The 12,343-nt window shown below is 57.1% G+C and overlaps 1 protein-coding gene across 7 annotated transcripts in view, besides 6 other annotated features; it reads left to right on the forward strand.

Annotated features, from left to right (window-relative positions):
• DAGLA (diacylglycerol lipase alpha) overlaps positions 1-12,343 on the forward strand; it is a 66,611-nt gene that overhangs the window by 31,636 nt on the left and 22,632 nt on the right. For 4 of the 7 annotated variants that reach the window (NM_006133.3, XM_047427543.1, XM_047427541.1 and 1 more), the window contains exons 2-5: positions 8,086-8,224; positions 8,653-8,864; positions 10,833-10,934; positions 11,408-11,546. In NM_006133.3, coding sequence (NP_006124.1) covers positions 8,130-8,224; positions 8,653-8,864; positions 10,833-10,934; positions 11,408-11,546 — 548 coding nt within the window. In that variant the 5' untranslated portion in view covers positions 8,086-8,129. Of the gene's footprint in view, positions 1-6,710; positions 6,980-8,085; positions 8,225-8,652; positions 8,865-10,832; positions 10,935-11,407; positions 11,547-12,343 lie in introns of those variants that run through there. The other 3 variants (XM_047427540.1, XM_047427545.1, XM_047427544.1) reach the window with 2 other exon arrangements.
• Positions 2,988-3,774: an enhancer, noted in NCBI's record as "H3K27ac-H3K4me1 hESC enhancer chr11:61482486-61483272 (GRCh37/hg19 assembly coordinates)". NCBI's record gives its function as "activates a minimal SCP1, AML or CMV promoter by ChIP-STARR-seq in primed H9 embryonic stem cells {active_cell/tissue: H9 hESC(primed)}" and the evidence as "EXISTENCE:reporter gene assay evidence [ECO:0000049][PMID:30033119]".
• Positions 3,775-4,560: an enhancer, noted in NCBI's record as "H3K27ac-H3K4me1 hESC enhancer chr11:61483273-61484058 (GRCh37/hg19 assembly coordinates)". NCBI's record gives its function as "activates a minimal SCP1, AML or CMV promoter by ChIP-STARR-seq in primed H9 embryonic stem cells {active_cell/tissue: H9 hESC(primed)}" and the evidence as "EXISTENCE:reporter gene assay evidence [ECO:0000049][PMID:30033119]".
• Positions 5,347-6,132: an enhancer, noted in NCBI's record as "H3K27ac-H3K4me1 hESC enhancer chr11:61484845-61485630 (GRCh37/hg19 assembly coordinates)". NCBI's record gives its function as "activates a minimal SCP1, AML or CMV promoter by ChIP-STARR-seq in naive H9 embryonic stem cells {active_cell/tissue: H9 hESC(naive)}" and the evidence as "EXISTENCE:reporter gene assay evidence [ECO:0000049][PMID:30033119]".
• Positions 6,133-6,919: an enhancer, noted in NCBI's record as "H3K27ac-H3K4me1 hESC enhancer chr11:61485631-61486417 (GRCh37/hg19 assembly coordinates)". NCBI's record gives its function as "activates a minimal SCP1, AML or CMV promoter by ChIP-STARR-seq in primed H9 embryonic stem cells {active_cell/tissue: H9 hESC(primed)}" and the evidence as "EXISTENCE:reporter gene assay evidence [ECO:0000049][PMID:30033119]".
• Positions 6,920-7,705: an enhancer, noted in NCBI's record as "H3K27ac-H3K4me1 hESC enhancer chr11:61486418-61487203 (GRCh37/hg19 assembly coordinates)". NCBI's record gives its function as "activates a minimal SCP1, AML or CMV promoter by ChIP-STARR-seq in primed H9 embryonic stem cells {active_cell/tissue: H9 hESC(primed)}" and the evidence as "EXISTENCE:reporter gene assay evidence [ECO:0000049][PMID:30033119]".
• Positions 8,493-9,277: an enhancer, noted in NCBI's record as "H3K4me1 hESC enhancer chr11:61487991-61488775 (GRCh37/hg19 assembly coordinates)". NCBI's record gives its function as "activates a minimal SCP1, AML or CMV promoter by ChIP-STARR-seq in naive and primed H9 embryonic stem cells {active_cell/tissue: H9 hESC(naive and primed)}" and the evidence as "EXISTENCE:reporter gene assay evidence [ECO:0000049][PMID:30033119]".

The following is a 12,343-nucleotide window of genomic DNA, read 5'->3' on the forward strand; positions in this document are numbered from 1 at the left end:
GAGTAATTGTTGGAACTATTTCTGGGTCCGGCCCAGGCTGGCATTGCCCCCAAGTCACTGGAGCTTCTCTTTCCGTCCTCCTCCCTGAACTCTGTGCCCAGCTCCCTGACTGCTGTTTTATAGGGGAGGGGTCTCTGGCCAAGAAGCACGAGGAGGGCACAGAGAGAACACAGCAGGTAGACCTGGCTTCAGAGCCTGACTTGGACACTCACTTGCTAGCTTCTTTAAATTCTTGGAGCCTCAGTTTCCCGATCCATGACATGCGAACAGCTAGACCCACCCCTGGGGTTGTAGTGAGGATGGTTATGTGGCTGGCACATGGTGAGGGGTGGAGGAGGTGCCTCCTCTGGTCCTTCCAGGCCATCCTGGGGGAGAGTGGGAAAGGCGTTTGTTAGCCTAAGACCCTGGGCGGCGGGTAGGAGGGGACAAATGTCAGTGGCCTCCCACTCCTGCCCCTGGCTGCACAAGGCACACTGTTTTCATCCCTAGGCCTGGGCGTGTGAGGACCTATCTCATGCTGAAATCTGGCCCCAGTCCTGGGCAGGCTCCGCTCTGCCTTCTGCTCTAGCGCAGCTGATGTGTGAAAAGCGACAGCTTTCAGGCCCCTAACTTGGGTTGCACACACCCAGGTACAGGCTGGTGGCGCACGTGGCCCCCAGCCCACACGTGCTTTCTCTCCGTCGTCTCCCTTGTCACCTCTCCCCTCCTGTGCTTTCAGAGGCCAGCCTCTCGGCCACTGGGAAGAAGGGGAAGGTACTGTAGCCCCGGGAGCCTGGGGTGGGACCTGTGGGTCCTACTGTCTCTGTGTTTGTGACAATAAGGAGTCAGACTGACAGGCAGAGAGGGTATTTTTTTCTTGCAAGTAGTTCAAGGAAGCTACTTGAAATCCCAGCTCTGCGATGTCCTCGTGGAGGGATCTTCGTGCAAACCATTTTGCCTCTCTGAGCCTTGGTTTCTTCATCTGTAAAGTTGGGGTAATACCCTGTGGCCTGATGAGGCTGGAGGTGGATGACACATAGTGTTTCTAGTGCCTTGCTCTCTCCCGACTCCACAGCCTGCTCCGTGGAATTCCCCTGGGCTCAGTTTTCCTCATCTGCAGAATGGGTCCCGTGCTATCCCACATGATTGTGAGTCTGAAGCTAGATGAAGACCCAGAGAGCTCCTCAGTCTGTAAGAAGAGGCTTAGAGCCAGCTTTTGAGTTCAGAAACAGGCATTTAGCTGAATCCTGCTTCTCAGAAACAGCATGCAGAGGTAAAGACCTGGGTTCTGGGCCTAGGCTGTGTGGCTGTGGGCAAGTCACTTCAGCTCATCTGTCAAATAAGGGGAAGGGTAGTACCTACCTCACAGAACTGTTATGAGGACTAGGTGAGTTCATGTTTGTAAAGGGCATAGATGTGCGCCGAGACCTTGTAGGCAATTCATAAATGTTAGGAGAACCGAAGCAGCCCAGTCCCCAACTTATAGGTGGCTGAGATCATTCTGTCCCTGTCACTACCCAGGATCCTGGAGCCTGCAGTTTCACCAGTGCAGAGAGGTTAACTCGCTACCACAGTCCTGCAGCCACAGTGAACAGCTGGAATCTCACCACGACCAAAGCCTGTGCTAAAGAGAGCAGGACCTGTCTGCCAGCCCAGCGAGGCCAGACAGCGACCTGCTGGTGAGCCCACCCTAGCTGGGGTGGAGCCTCTGAACACAACGCCTCTGCTGGGGGGCGGGCCACCAGTGTCCTGCGGGGCACCACTGGGGGGCCCAGCCTCACTGTGCTGAGTCCCGCAGATCAGATGCCCACCCCCAGACCAGATAAGCTCCAGTGCCCAACAAGGCACATTCAAAATCGGATGGACCACGAGAGCATAGCAGGCAGTAGGCATCAGTTCCTCTCCACTATTTTGGACCACCTTCCAATTTCAAAGCCCTTTCACATAGGAATCCCATTCGTCATGGAAATGGGAGTCCTGGGCTCTCCCTTCAGGACACCAAGGGTCAAAAAACCCTGCAGAGCGAAAAAGAGCCCTTACAAACTTGCCAGTTTCCACATTTACTTTGGCAACCAGGAAGTGTGGCGTCCAGTGCTAGTTTTACATATAGCAACCGTGGGGGCCCTTATGTCTCACATGTGTGCAATGGACTCATCCTCCCGGCCCTCAATTTTGATTTACTGGGGCCTAGAGGGGTTGGGACTTTCTGTCCTGGGGACACTGCTCTTCATTCAGCACCAGGCAGCTCTAGGATGTGGCTGGACCTGGTCCCCATCACCAGCCCCCAGAGGCAGGAGTAAAATGGGGGCCCAGGGAAGGTGGCTCTCTGGATCTGTCTGAGAGTCTCCTCTCTGTCACCACAGCTGCTGCAGAGCAACAGGGACTCCACCGCTGGAGGCAGGAGAGCCAGCCGCAGGTGACTGAAGTAGGCACATGGTTGATGCCTCCCTGCAGGTTTATCTCCTGTGAGGGAGCTTCTGTGGATGTTGCTGGCTTCTAGGAGGGTTAGGCATCTTCAAGATCGTGAAAGAGAGGATCTCAGCCCAGGCTCCCTGTGGTGACACGCTACTAATGCTGTTGTCACTGGGGAGTTTGAGTGGGGTATGTAGTGAGGTAGAAGGGAGCAGGCTGGCTTGGGGGCTTGGGTTGTGTGTCCAGCACCTGGCAGTGACGCTGCTGGGATGGATATCACGGGAAGAGCTAGGGCCTCTGTGTTCTTTCTGAACCTCAGTTTCCTCGCCCATGAAAGGGGACAGTGGGACTGTTCTGAGACTCCTTTTAACTCTGACCTTTGTTAGGTGTGGGCTTTGGATGGCAGCAGGAATGACCTGCGCCTCCTGCCTGCCTGGCCTCTTGATCCTCGGATGGTGTCAGGCAGTCTCTGCATCTCAGTCTCATTCTTCAGTAGTAATAGTAATGGCAGTGGCAGCATTTGCTGAGCAGTTACCAGATGACAGGCGCTGTTTGAAGTGTTGACTGATTTAACCCTCCTGATAATTCGGAGGTAGGTACTCTTCTTATCCCTGGTTTAGAAGTGAGGAGACTGAAGCACAGAGAGGTTAAGTACCTTGTCCAAGGTCACACAGCCAGTAAGTGGCAGAGCCAAGACTCAGATGCAGCCTGTTTTAGAGTGCAGGGTCTTAACCACCCCTTGCACACACTGTGGAATGAGAGCGACACTGCGACCCTGTGTTACTGCTGTGAGGACTGAAGCCGGTTAGTCCAGGACTTGGGACACAGAAGGTGCTCAGCTAATGTCAGATGGATCCCTATGGCTGGACCTGGCTGTCATCCCCTCCTTCAGGCACAACCTCTATCCCATCCCCAGGCCAATGACCAAAGCCATCTCTGGCCAGATGGGAAATCTCATGGGCTGGAGGTGGCACTCGTGGGGGTTCCCAAGCTCATTGTCCAGTTCCCTGTGGACACTCCAGAGGGCTGAGCCAGTACCTTCTTCCCCCCCATCCCCCTGGGAGCTCTTGGAGCCCCATCTGCTGGGAGTCTTGCTGCCAAGGGACTCTGCTCCTTAAAATCTGCTCCCAGGGCCAAGCCCACAGGGTACCTTAGGACGAGGGGGCGAGGCCCAGCCTGGGGTGCTTTTACCAGCAGCACCGGAGCACTCATGGTGGGGGCAGGCTCCTCGGTCAGGGCTTCTGTTTGCTCACTCCAGCCCTTTCTGACCAGCTGGGCACCAGCAGCACCTTCCAGACCCCAGCACCCAGTCACAGGTCACATCACAGGAGGTCCCCACAAAGCCCCTCAGGTGTCTGCTAATGCAACAGCAGCCATCAGCAGATCCTTGGGGTGTGCAGGACCTGTGCAGAGTCCTGTAGTGACATCACCCCAGTCTGTTCTGACCACAGCCTTGAGAGGGATGTTGTTAGCCCCATTTTACAAGAGAAGAAACTGAGGTCCCAGAACAGTTCATCTAGCCAGAGGGGGGGGAGAGGGTTCTCCCTGAGCTGTCAGGGAAGACACTGGGGTGGGAACCCAGCCTGACAGTCAGGAAGGGAGGGACGTTTCCCCAGAAGGGAAGGGTGTGAGCTCAGAGGGGGAAGGAGCCACTGTCTCAGCCCTTGTGACTGGGAGGGGAGCTGTGCTGAGGAGGCCATGGGGTGGGACTGAGGTGCTGGAGCCAGGCACTGCAGCTGGCACCCAGAGGTGTGGCGATGGGTACTGTGAGACCCTGGCCCCGGGGACTGTTGAGCTGGGGTGGGGATGGGCAGCAAGGAGTCAGCAGGTTAACCGTAACACAGTGTGACCAGGGCCATGCTGGGGGAAGGGGTCTAGGGTTCCCATAAGGGAGCAGCCTGTTTCCCAGGAGGAGAGTGGGTTGCATGAGGGCTGTCAGGGAGGGCTTCAAAGAGGAGGTGACTTTTAGCTGACCTAGAGAGATGAGTTGGATTTCACCCATCAGAACTGGAGTAAGCAAAGCATGGACCCTTCCAGTGATGTGTTTCTGGGGAGCAGCATGTTTGGGGTGTCGAGAAAGAAGGATGTGGCAGTGTAAGAAGGTGCTGGAGAGCCTCTCCAGCCAGAGGATTTGTCAGCTGAGGGTGGGCTCTGTGCTGGAGTCTGTCTGCACCAGGATCGCTTTCTGCTCAGGTGATAAGGGAATGCGTGGATTCAGAGAGGGCGAGGCATATGCCTGAGGTTGCACCGCCTGTCGCTGCCGCCCGAGGGGCTTGGACTTTGTCCTGCAGGCCATGGGGAGCCAGGAAGGTTTTTAAAGTAGGGGGCAGCATATGCATTTTTAAAAAGAGTTTGCATTTTTAGAAAGAGGAACTCCCAGAATGGTTAGTACTTAGTCCAGGGGCCTGAATCACCAGCAGGAAAATTGGGCTGTGTGGGTGGGGGAAGAAGGAGGCTTCCTTGGGCTGCTTAAGTCATTCCATCCATGTGAGAGGGGTCCTGGCACCCCATTCACACTTGCCTGTGCTGGGGGTCCAACCAGAGGCAGGAGGAGCCCCCAGCAGTGCCCCTGTGGCCCCTGCTGGAAGGTATGCCGTGCCTGCCCTGGAAGCCCCACTGGTGTGGGATAGGAAGGGCAGGCAGCGCCTACCCCCGCCCCACTGTGGCTGTTAGAGGGGAGGACCCTATGCCCCAGGGGAGGAGAGCCAGAAGAGGTGCTTTGTGGCAGCCCCAGACCAGGAAGTAGCCTCTGCCCTCCCCGCTCCTGAGACATTTCCTCCAGATGAAATCACATCCCCAGCAGGGGAACAGGCCCTTATTGTGATGGGCCGGGGTCTCTAGAGAAAGGGCACCATTCAAGGCCCTTAAAAATAGCCCCAAGAGATGTATGAATTGGCCTGGAGAGTGGTGCAGCCCACCCCCAACCCTTATGCAGCACAGGCCCTGCCACCCCCACCCCAGACCTTGACTTGTTGGTGACCAGCCGGAGATTCCACCAGCCCAGGCGGGAGGGGTGGCTGGTCCAGCAAGGGGTTCCTTGCACTCCCTCCGCCTCGCCCGCCCCAGCTAAGACAGCTAGAGCCTCTGCAGACCTCTCATGTGATTCTCACCAGGACTTTAGGAGGTAGGGATAATCGACATTTTACAAATCGACATTTTACAGTTGAGGAAACTGAGGCACGACTAATAAGTCACACAGTGGGTACGTGGTAGAGCCCAGGTTCAAAACCAGCCAGCCTGGCACTTGTGTCCCAGCCTCTGTGCCTCGGATTCTATGGTGGTGGGCCGGCCACTGGTGCAGGCCTGTCACTGGGTACCCAGCAGGGTCGGCCCCCAGGAGCCCCGCCTCATACTCTAGGTAGGTACTGCTGTTGACCATGGCAATTGGCCTCAGGCTGGTCACCCTGAGGTGGGGGCAGTGGTTACCACTGGTCATATCCCTCCAGCGTCTTGACAGTCCTTCAGCCACCTCACCTCTGCAGGGCCCAGGGCCAGGTTCGGCTCACTCCTTCCAGCCTGAGAGCTGAAGCGAGCGGGCATTGTTCGGGCAGAGGAGGGGAGTGCAGAGTGAGTGTGTGTGTTGGGTGGATGGTGTGTGATCTCGAGGAGTGTTAGCTATCCTGGGTTCCATGGGTCCAAGGGTGGGAGTGAGAGGAGGGACCTCCCAGGGTGACTGAGAGGGGCCATCCATGGGGTGGACCTGAGAAGGAGATATTCTTGGCTGCTGGCAGAGGCAGGCCTGGGGGCAGGCTGGGTAGGGCCAGACCCTAGCCCTCCAGCCAGCCCCTCTGGGACAGCACTGCTCCCTCCTCCCCTGGTCTGGCCAGATCAGAGCAGGATGCGGCTCTACAGCACCTGCGGGGGCGTACTGCCCCCCCAGCCTCTAGATTCATTCCATTTCATTCTGTTCCATTCATGTGAGGGGCTCCTGGCAGCCCCGACAGCCCCCTGAGCCCGACCCAGCGCTGCACCTTACCCTCTGTGAGCTACTTGGAGACAGGGAGGGGGCGGCAATACCAGCTGTTGGCAGCTCTGTTCTGCCCCAGCCCAACTGCCACCCACGGTGCCCCAGCCCCCCCTCCTGTCCTATCGTGTCCAACCCTAATCTGAAGCTGGTGCTGTCAGCCACATGTCACAGGCACTGCTGACGCCCCGGACCCCTGCAGTCCACAGACCACCCCCCACCCCCAAAGCCCAGCCACCCCACCACCATGCTCCCTCACTCTCCACCCTTCTCCCTGCCTCCCAGAAGCTGAGCTCCGACTCCTCCTTGGAGAGAGAGTGGGATGATGTCACTTCCTGAGGGTGGGGGGAGGAGTAGGCACGACCCCGGCAGGCTAGCCCGCCAGCCCGCCAGGCCACAGCTCGCCAAGTGGCTGCACCGGGGATAGGGAGGCGGGCCGGGCGGACATGCGGGCTGGCCACCTGGCCCCACGCCCTCTCGCCCACCCTGGGGGCTATGCCCACTGGCCAAGGGAGACTTGGCTGCTTCCTCCCCGAATGATGCCGGGCTCCTCGGACACACATTTTCCCTGGAGCCGCCACTGGGGAGAGGAGGATCTGCCGCCTGCCCCGGACCAGGTGCCATGTAAGCCTCTACTGGCCCCCGGCGGGGGACAGCTGCCCACCAACTTGGTCCCCAGCCCCCTGCAGCAGTTTAGTGCAGAGCTACCCTGGAGCCCTTTATGGGTATCTCTGGGGACCTAGCTCCCTGTGGGGTCACCTCCCACCCATGCTGCTTCCTTTCTCTTTGGGATGCTAAGGAGTGAGGGCCCTGAGTTCCTGGGCACTCTTTCCTGAGCTTGCTTGGGGCTGATTTGAATTCAGCTACTTCAGAGAGTTGAAAATCCAGCTGGAAAAGCTGCATGGCTCAGGGTGGGCTTGGGAGGTATGGTTGCCAGGAGGGGTGTGACCCTGCAGGGCTTACCCCATCCTTCCAGCAGTGTGGGGTGGAAGGTGTCCCAAGCCCTACTCCTGACCCTGCACCTCAACCGTGCTCTTCCCTCCCTGGAGGCATAGCTGTGGTGGGGACTTCTGTCTGATGGGTTCAAAACCAAGTCATAGAGCACGCTCTTGGCTTCCAGCAAAGCAGGAAACTGAAGCCTTCATTCAAGAAATACTTACTGAGCACCTGCTCTATGCCAGGCACTCCTCACCTTCCATGTTTGTCAGTCCCAGCTGCCAACCATACAGGGTCCCTTGCCCCCACCTTCCCAAGGCCTTCAGCCTTCCTCCTGCCCTGCTGGGCTTTGTGCTGTTGGGTGGGCTTGTTCTTGGTCTGGGAAGCCCCTCCCTTGACTCCAAGGACAGTGTGCACTGGGCCAGGTCTAAAGATTATAGGGTTTGAGGGCTGGGCTGAGGGTCCCACTGATCCCATGAAGGAGGAAACGGGGTCTTTAATAGAGCTCAACAGTGACTGCTGGGGTAACCCCAGGTAGAAGCCGATCCCTAGTGGCCAGTACCAGTCTCGGGGGACAGGAGAGACTCCAGGGGGAAGGCTGAAGTCTGTGTCCTGCTGCTAAGGTCCTTTGTGTTGGCTCCTGCCCGGAGGTGGGTCAGCACTTCCAGTGGCCAGCTCCAAAAATGCCTGTGCTTCTGGCCACACCGGGGACTGGTCCCGTGGCCCAAGGAATGCAGTGGCCCTGGGTGCCTTCACCTCCTCAGGCAGCTATAAGGTCCTCTGCTTTCTTTCAGGAGGTGAGCACCAGGCCCACTGAGCCTCTGCAGAGCCACCAGCCATGCCCGGGATCGTGGTGTTCCGGCGGCGCTGGTCTGTGGGCAGTGATGACCTCGTCCTACCGGCCATCTTCCTCTTTCTCCTGCATACCACCTGGTGAGTCCCCAGGCCCGGGGCCACAGGCCTGGGTTTGGAGAGAAAGGTCTGGAAGGACGCTTTCTGGCCATTTGTTCCTCCCTGCTTGGGCCCAAGTCCCAACCCTGTCATGCCCCCAGCTGCCCGGAGGAGGTGCCTGAAACATCTAGCCCCTTAGGGCAATGACACCCCTGCTACCATTGCTGGACCTGACCCCAACACTGGGGGGAGTTGCTGCTACTGTCTCCCCATGGCTGACCCTGAGTCTTTTACTGGCCGCCCATGCCCTTCTAGGCATTCGATGCCAGGTGGACAATGGTCTTATGGAGGAGGTGCCTGCTGCCAGCCCTCCTTCCACTGAATCTGGGCTGGGGAAGGGCCTGCCTGCTAGTAGCATCTCGAGGTACAGGGGCCACCTGGCCTTGCTCACACGGGCGTTCCTGTGACAGGTTTGTGATCCTGTCCGTGGTGCTCTTCGGCCTGGTCTATAACCCGCACGAGGCCTGCTCCCTGAACCTGGTGGACCACGGCCGCGGCTACCTGGGCATCCTGCTGAGCTGCATGATCGCTGAGATGGCCATCATCTGGCTGAGCATGCGCGGGGGCATCCTCTACACGGAGCCCCGTGACTCCATGCAGTACGTGCTCTACGTGCGCCTGGGTAAGGGCCACCCACCCTGGGGTGCTGCCCCAGACAACTCCCACCTCTCCATTCACTCAGCCAGTATTTACTGCGCACATGTTGCGAGCCAGGCCCTGTTTTAGCACTGGGGTACAGCAGTGAACTAAGGCCTTCTGTAGCTTACATTCTAGACTAGGGGCCAGCAAACTGCAGCCTGAGGGCCAAATCCAGCCTGCTGTATGTGTTATTAAATAAGGTTTTAGGCTGGGTGTGGTGGCTCATGCCTGTAATCCCAGCACTTTGGGAGGCCGAGGCAGGTGGATCACAAGGTCAGGAGTTCGAGACCAGCCTGGCGAACATGGGGAAACCCCGTCTCTACTAAAAATACAAAAATTAGCCAGGTGTGGTGGCACACGCCTGTAATCCCAGCTACTTGGGAGGCTGACGCAGGAGAATCACTTGAACCCAGGAGGCAGAGGTTGCAGTGAGCCGAGATTGCGCCACTGCACTCCAGCCTGGGTGACAGAGCAAGTCTCCATCTCAAAAAAAAAGAAAATAAGGTTTTATTGGCACATATCCATTCAGTAAGGTATTGTCTCCAGCTGCTTTGCCCCTACAGCAGCCGAGTTGAGTAGTTACTACAGCGACTGTAGGACTCCCAGAGTCCAAGATATTTGCTCTCTGGCCCTTTACAGGAAAAGGTGCTGACCCCATCCTCAACCATGTGCATCTCTTCAAAGCATATCTTCCTTGTGATCCTTCTCAAAACAGGCCTTCTGCTTCCTGGGAACCCCCTCAGGAGTCTGGGCCAGCTCCCCAGAGGACCAGCCTGTGTCCTCTTCTTGGGCTTAGGTTGCAGCCCCTTCTGGTCATTTGTAGTGAACACTGCTCTTGTGCTTCTGTGCACTGGGCTAGGCCCTTTTTCCTGTGTTAACTCACAGGGAGTGGGTGTTATTGGTCTCCGTTTATAGATGAGGAAACTGGGGCCCAGGCCTAGCTCTCACACAACTAGTAAGCGTGTAAATGTCGGAGCTGGGATTTGAACCCACGCTGTCTGGCTCCAAAGTCTGGTCTCTGAGCTGCCACACTGCTGCCCGTGCAGCTGGGGCTTTCCAGGCTGCCCCCATGAGGCCAGCAGATCTCCTTCTCAGCCACCACTCCATACCCCTCCCCTCCAGTCTCAGCCCCTGAGGGGCCTGAGCTGGATGCAGACCAGCTGCTGGGCCCTTCCTCTCTCCTCCATCAGGTTCCAGAGGCCTCTTGCTGGGAAATAGTTTCCATGAAGTGAACACGCTCTCATCTAATTTTTGCACAGTCCTATGACATAAATGTTGTCACTCCCATTTTACAGATGAGGAAATGGAGGCTCAGAGAGATTAGGAAACTTGCCTAAGATGTGTCTGATTCCACAGTTCAGACATGATTCTGAGATCCTGATAGAATGAGGAAATGGGCCAGGCGCGGTGGCTCATGCCTGTAATCCCAGCACTTTGGGAGGCCGAGGCGGGTGGACCACTTGAGGTCAGGAGTTCAAGACCAGCCTGGCCAACATGACGAAACCCCGTCTCTACTAAAAATACAAAAATTAGCTGGGCCTGGTGGTGGGTGCGTGTAATCCCATCTACCCTAGGGACTGAAGCAGGAGAATCTCTTGAACCCAGGAGGCAGAGGTTGCAGTGAGTCAAGATCACACCATTGCACTCCAGCCTGGACAACAAGAGCAAAACTCCATCAGGGATGCCCCGGGGACTTGAGAGCACAGAAGCTAGGAGAGGTGGTGGGCACATTGCAAGCGGTCATTCAGGGGCCAACAGGACCAAATGGTGACAGGACGGGCTTGGGGCCTGGGAGGCGGGGGGTGGGGGGTCTGCTAATGGCCCGCTGCCTCTGCCTTTGCTACTGAGCTGGCTGAAAGCCCAGCGATAGGAAAGGCCAGGCCGGGGTTCTAGGCCCTTCCCTGGCATGCAAGTGGCAGCCATCCTTCAGCCAGGCCTGCTCTCCTTGCAGCCATCCTGGTGATCGAGTTCATCTACGCCATCGTGGGCATCGTCTGGCTCACTCAGTACTACACCTCCTGCAACGACCTCACTGCCAAGAATGTCACCCTCGGTACGTCTGGGTGAGGCCTGCTGGAGCCTCAGCAGCCCCGGGGGCACAGGGGACGAGATCAGTTTAGAGAGGAAGAAGCTTGGGCATTGCCAGAGGGCAGTGCCTTCTGTGGGGGCACCAGCAGGTTGGCTGGGCGAGACTGCTTCCCTCACCCTTGAGGCCTGCCAGCTACCTGGTCTGGGGTGGGCTGCAGCAGGCACAGAGCTGCTCAGGTCAAGCCGAGGCTCCTCAGCACCTCCTTGGAAACCCACAGAGCTGCCTGCTCTGAGCCAAGAGTGGCCCTTGGGGTTGTGGGTGGGCAATAGGGTGGCCACGTATGTGGCCAGAGACTGGGACCAGGGGCTTTGGAGCCTGGCTTTTGTCCCCAGAAGCATTTGGGGTTAGGGAGGCTCCAATGTCCCTTTCTTCAGAGCGGGTGAGCCAGAGAGGTGTCCCCAGCGCCCCTACCTAATGCCTCCCACTGCTGCCCGCAGGAATGGTTGTCTGCAACTGGGTAGTCATCCTCAGTGTGTGCATCACTGTCCTCTGCGTCTTCGACCCCACGGGCCGCACCTTTGTCAAGCTGAGAGCCACCAAGAGGAGGCAGCGTAACCTGCGGACCTACAACCTGCGGTCAGTCAGCGGGCTGGGTGGGCAGTCCCAGGGTGGGCTTTGCTGTCTGGTGAGCAGAGGTCTCCATTCTTCAGAAGGCTACCCCAGGCCTCCCAGACTGCATGCCAACCTCGTGTGAGCCGTGGGCATTAGTCAAAGGGCTTAACTGCTCCCTGCCTCAGTTTCCTTGTCTATAAAGTGGGAATAATAACAATTCTTGTCTCATGTTGTTGTGAGATTTAACTGAGCTAATACCTGCAGAGTGACTAACACAGTGCTCACACTGGGTAAGTGCTCGGTTAATAGTAGTTGTTGTCATCATTGTCCACTGCTGATAATAACAATGGTAATAACAGTGAAGCCAAGCATTGCGTGTAGTAAGTTACAAGTCCACCACACAGCTGTCAACTTCCCCATAATATGGGTGGAGAAACTGAGGTACAGAGAGATGATGGGACTTGCCTGAGGTTACACAGCTAGAAAATGGTAAGGCTGGGAACTAGCCCAGGCAGTCTGGCCTTAGAGTCCTCGCTTAACTAGCTATTAAATTAGGCTAGGCTGCCTCTAGGATTCAGAGATTGGGAGAGGCAAGTCAAGGAAAGCTTCCTAGAGGGGGTGAGTTTTGCATGATGTTTTAAAGATGGGGGAAAGTGTGCCATGGCAGACAAAATGAGGGAGGGCATCCAGGTAGTGTCACAATAATTTGTTTGTTGAAAGAAAAAGAGAGGGGCTTCCAGGGTGGGTCCCAGTACCTCCTGTTAATGGGGCTTCTACAGTGCATTATGTAAGGAGCTCCCCATGCCAAGCCCTTTACGCAA

Source organism: Homo sapiens, chromosome 11 (assembly GCF_000001405.40).
Source record: "Homo sapiens chromosome 11, GRCh38.p14 Primary Assembly".
Classification (NCBI taxonomy): Eukaryota; Metazoa; Chordata; class Mammalia; order Primates; family Hominidae; genus Homo; species Homo sapiens.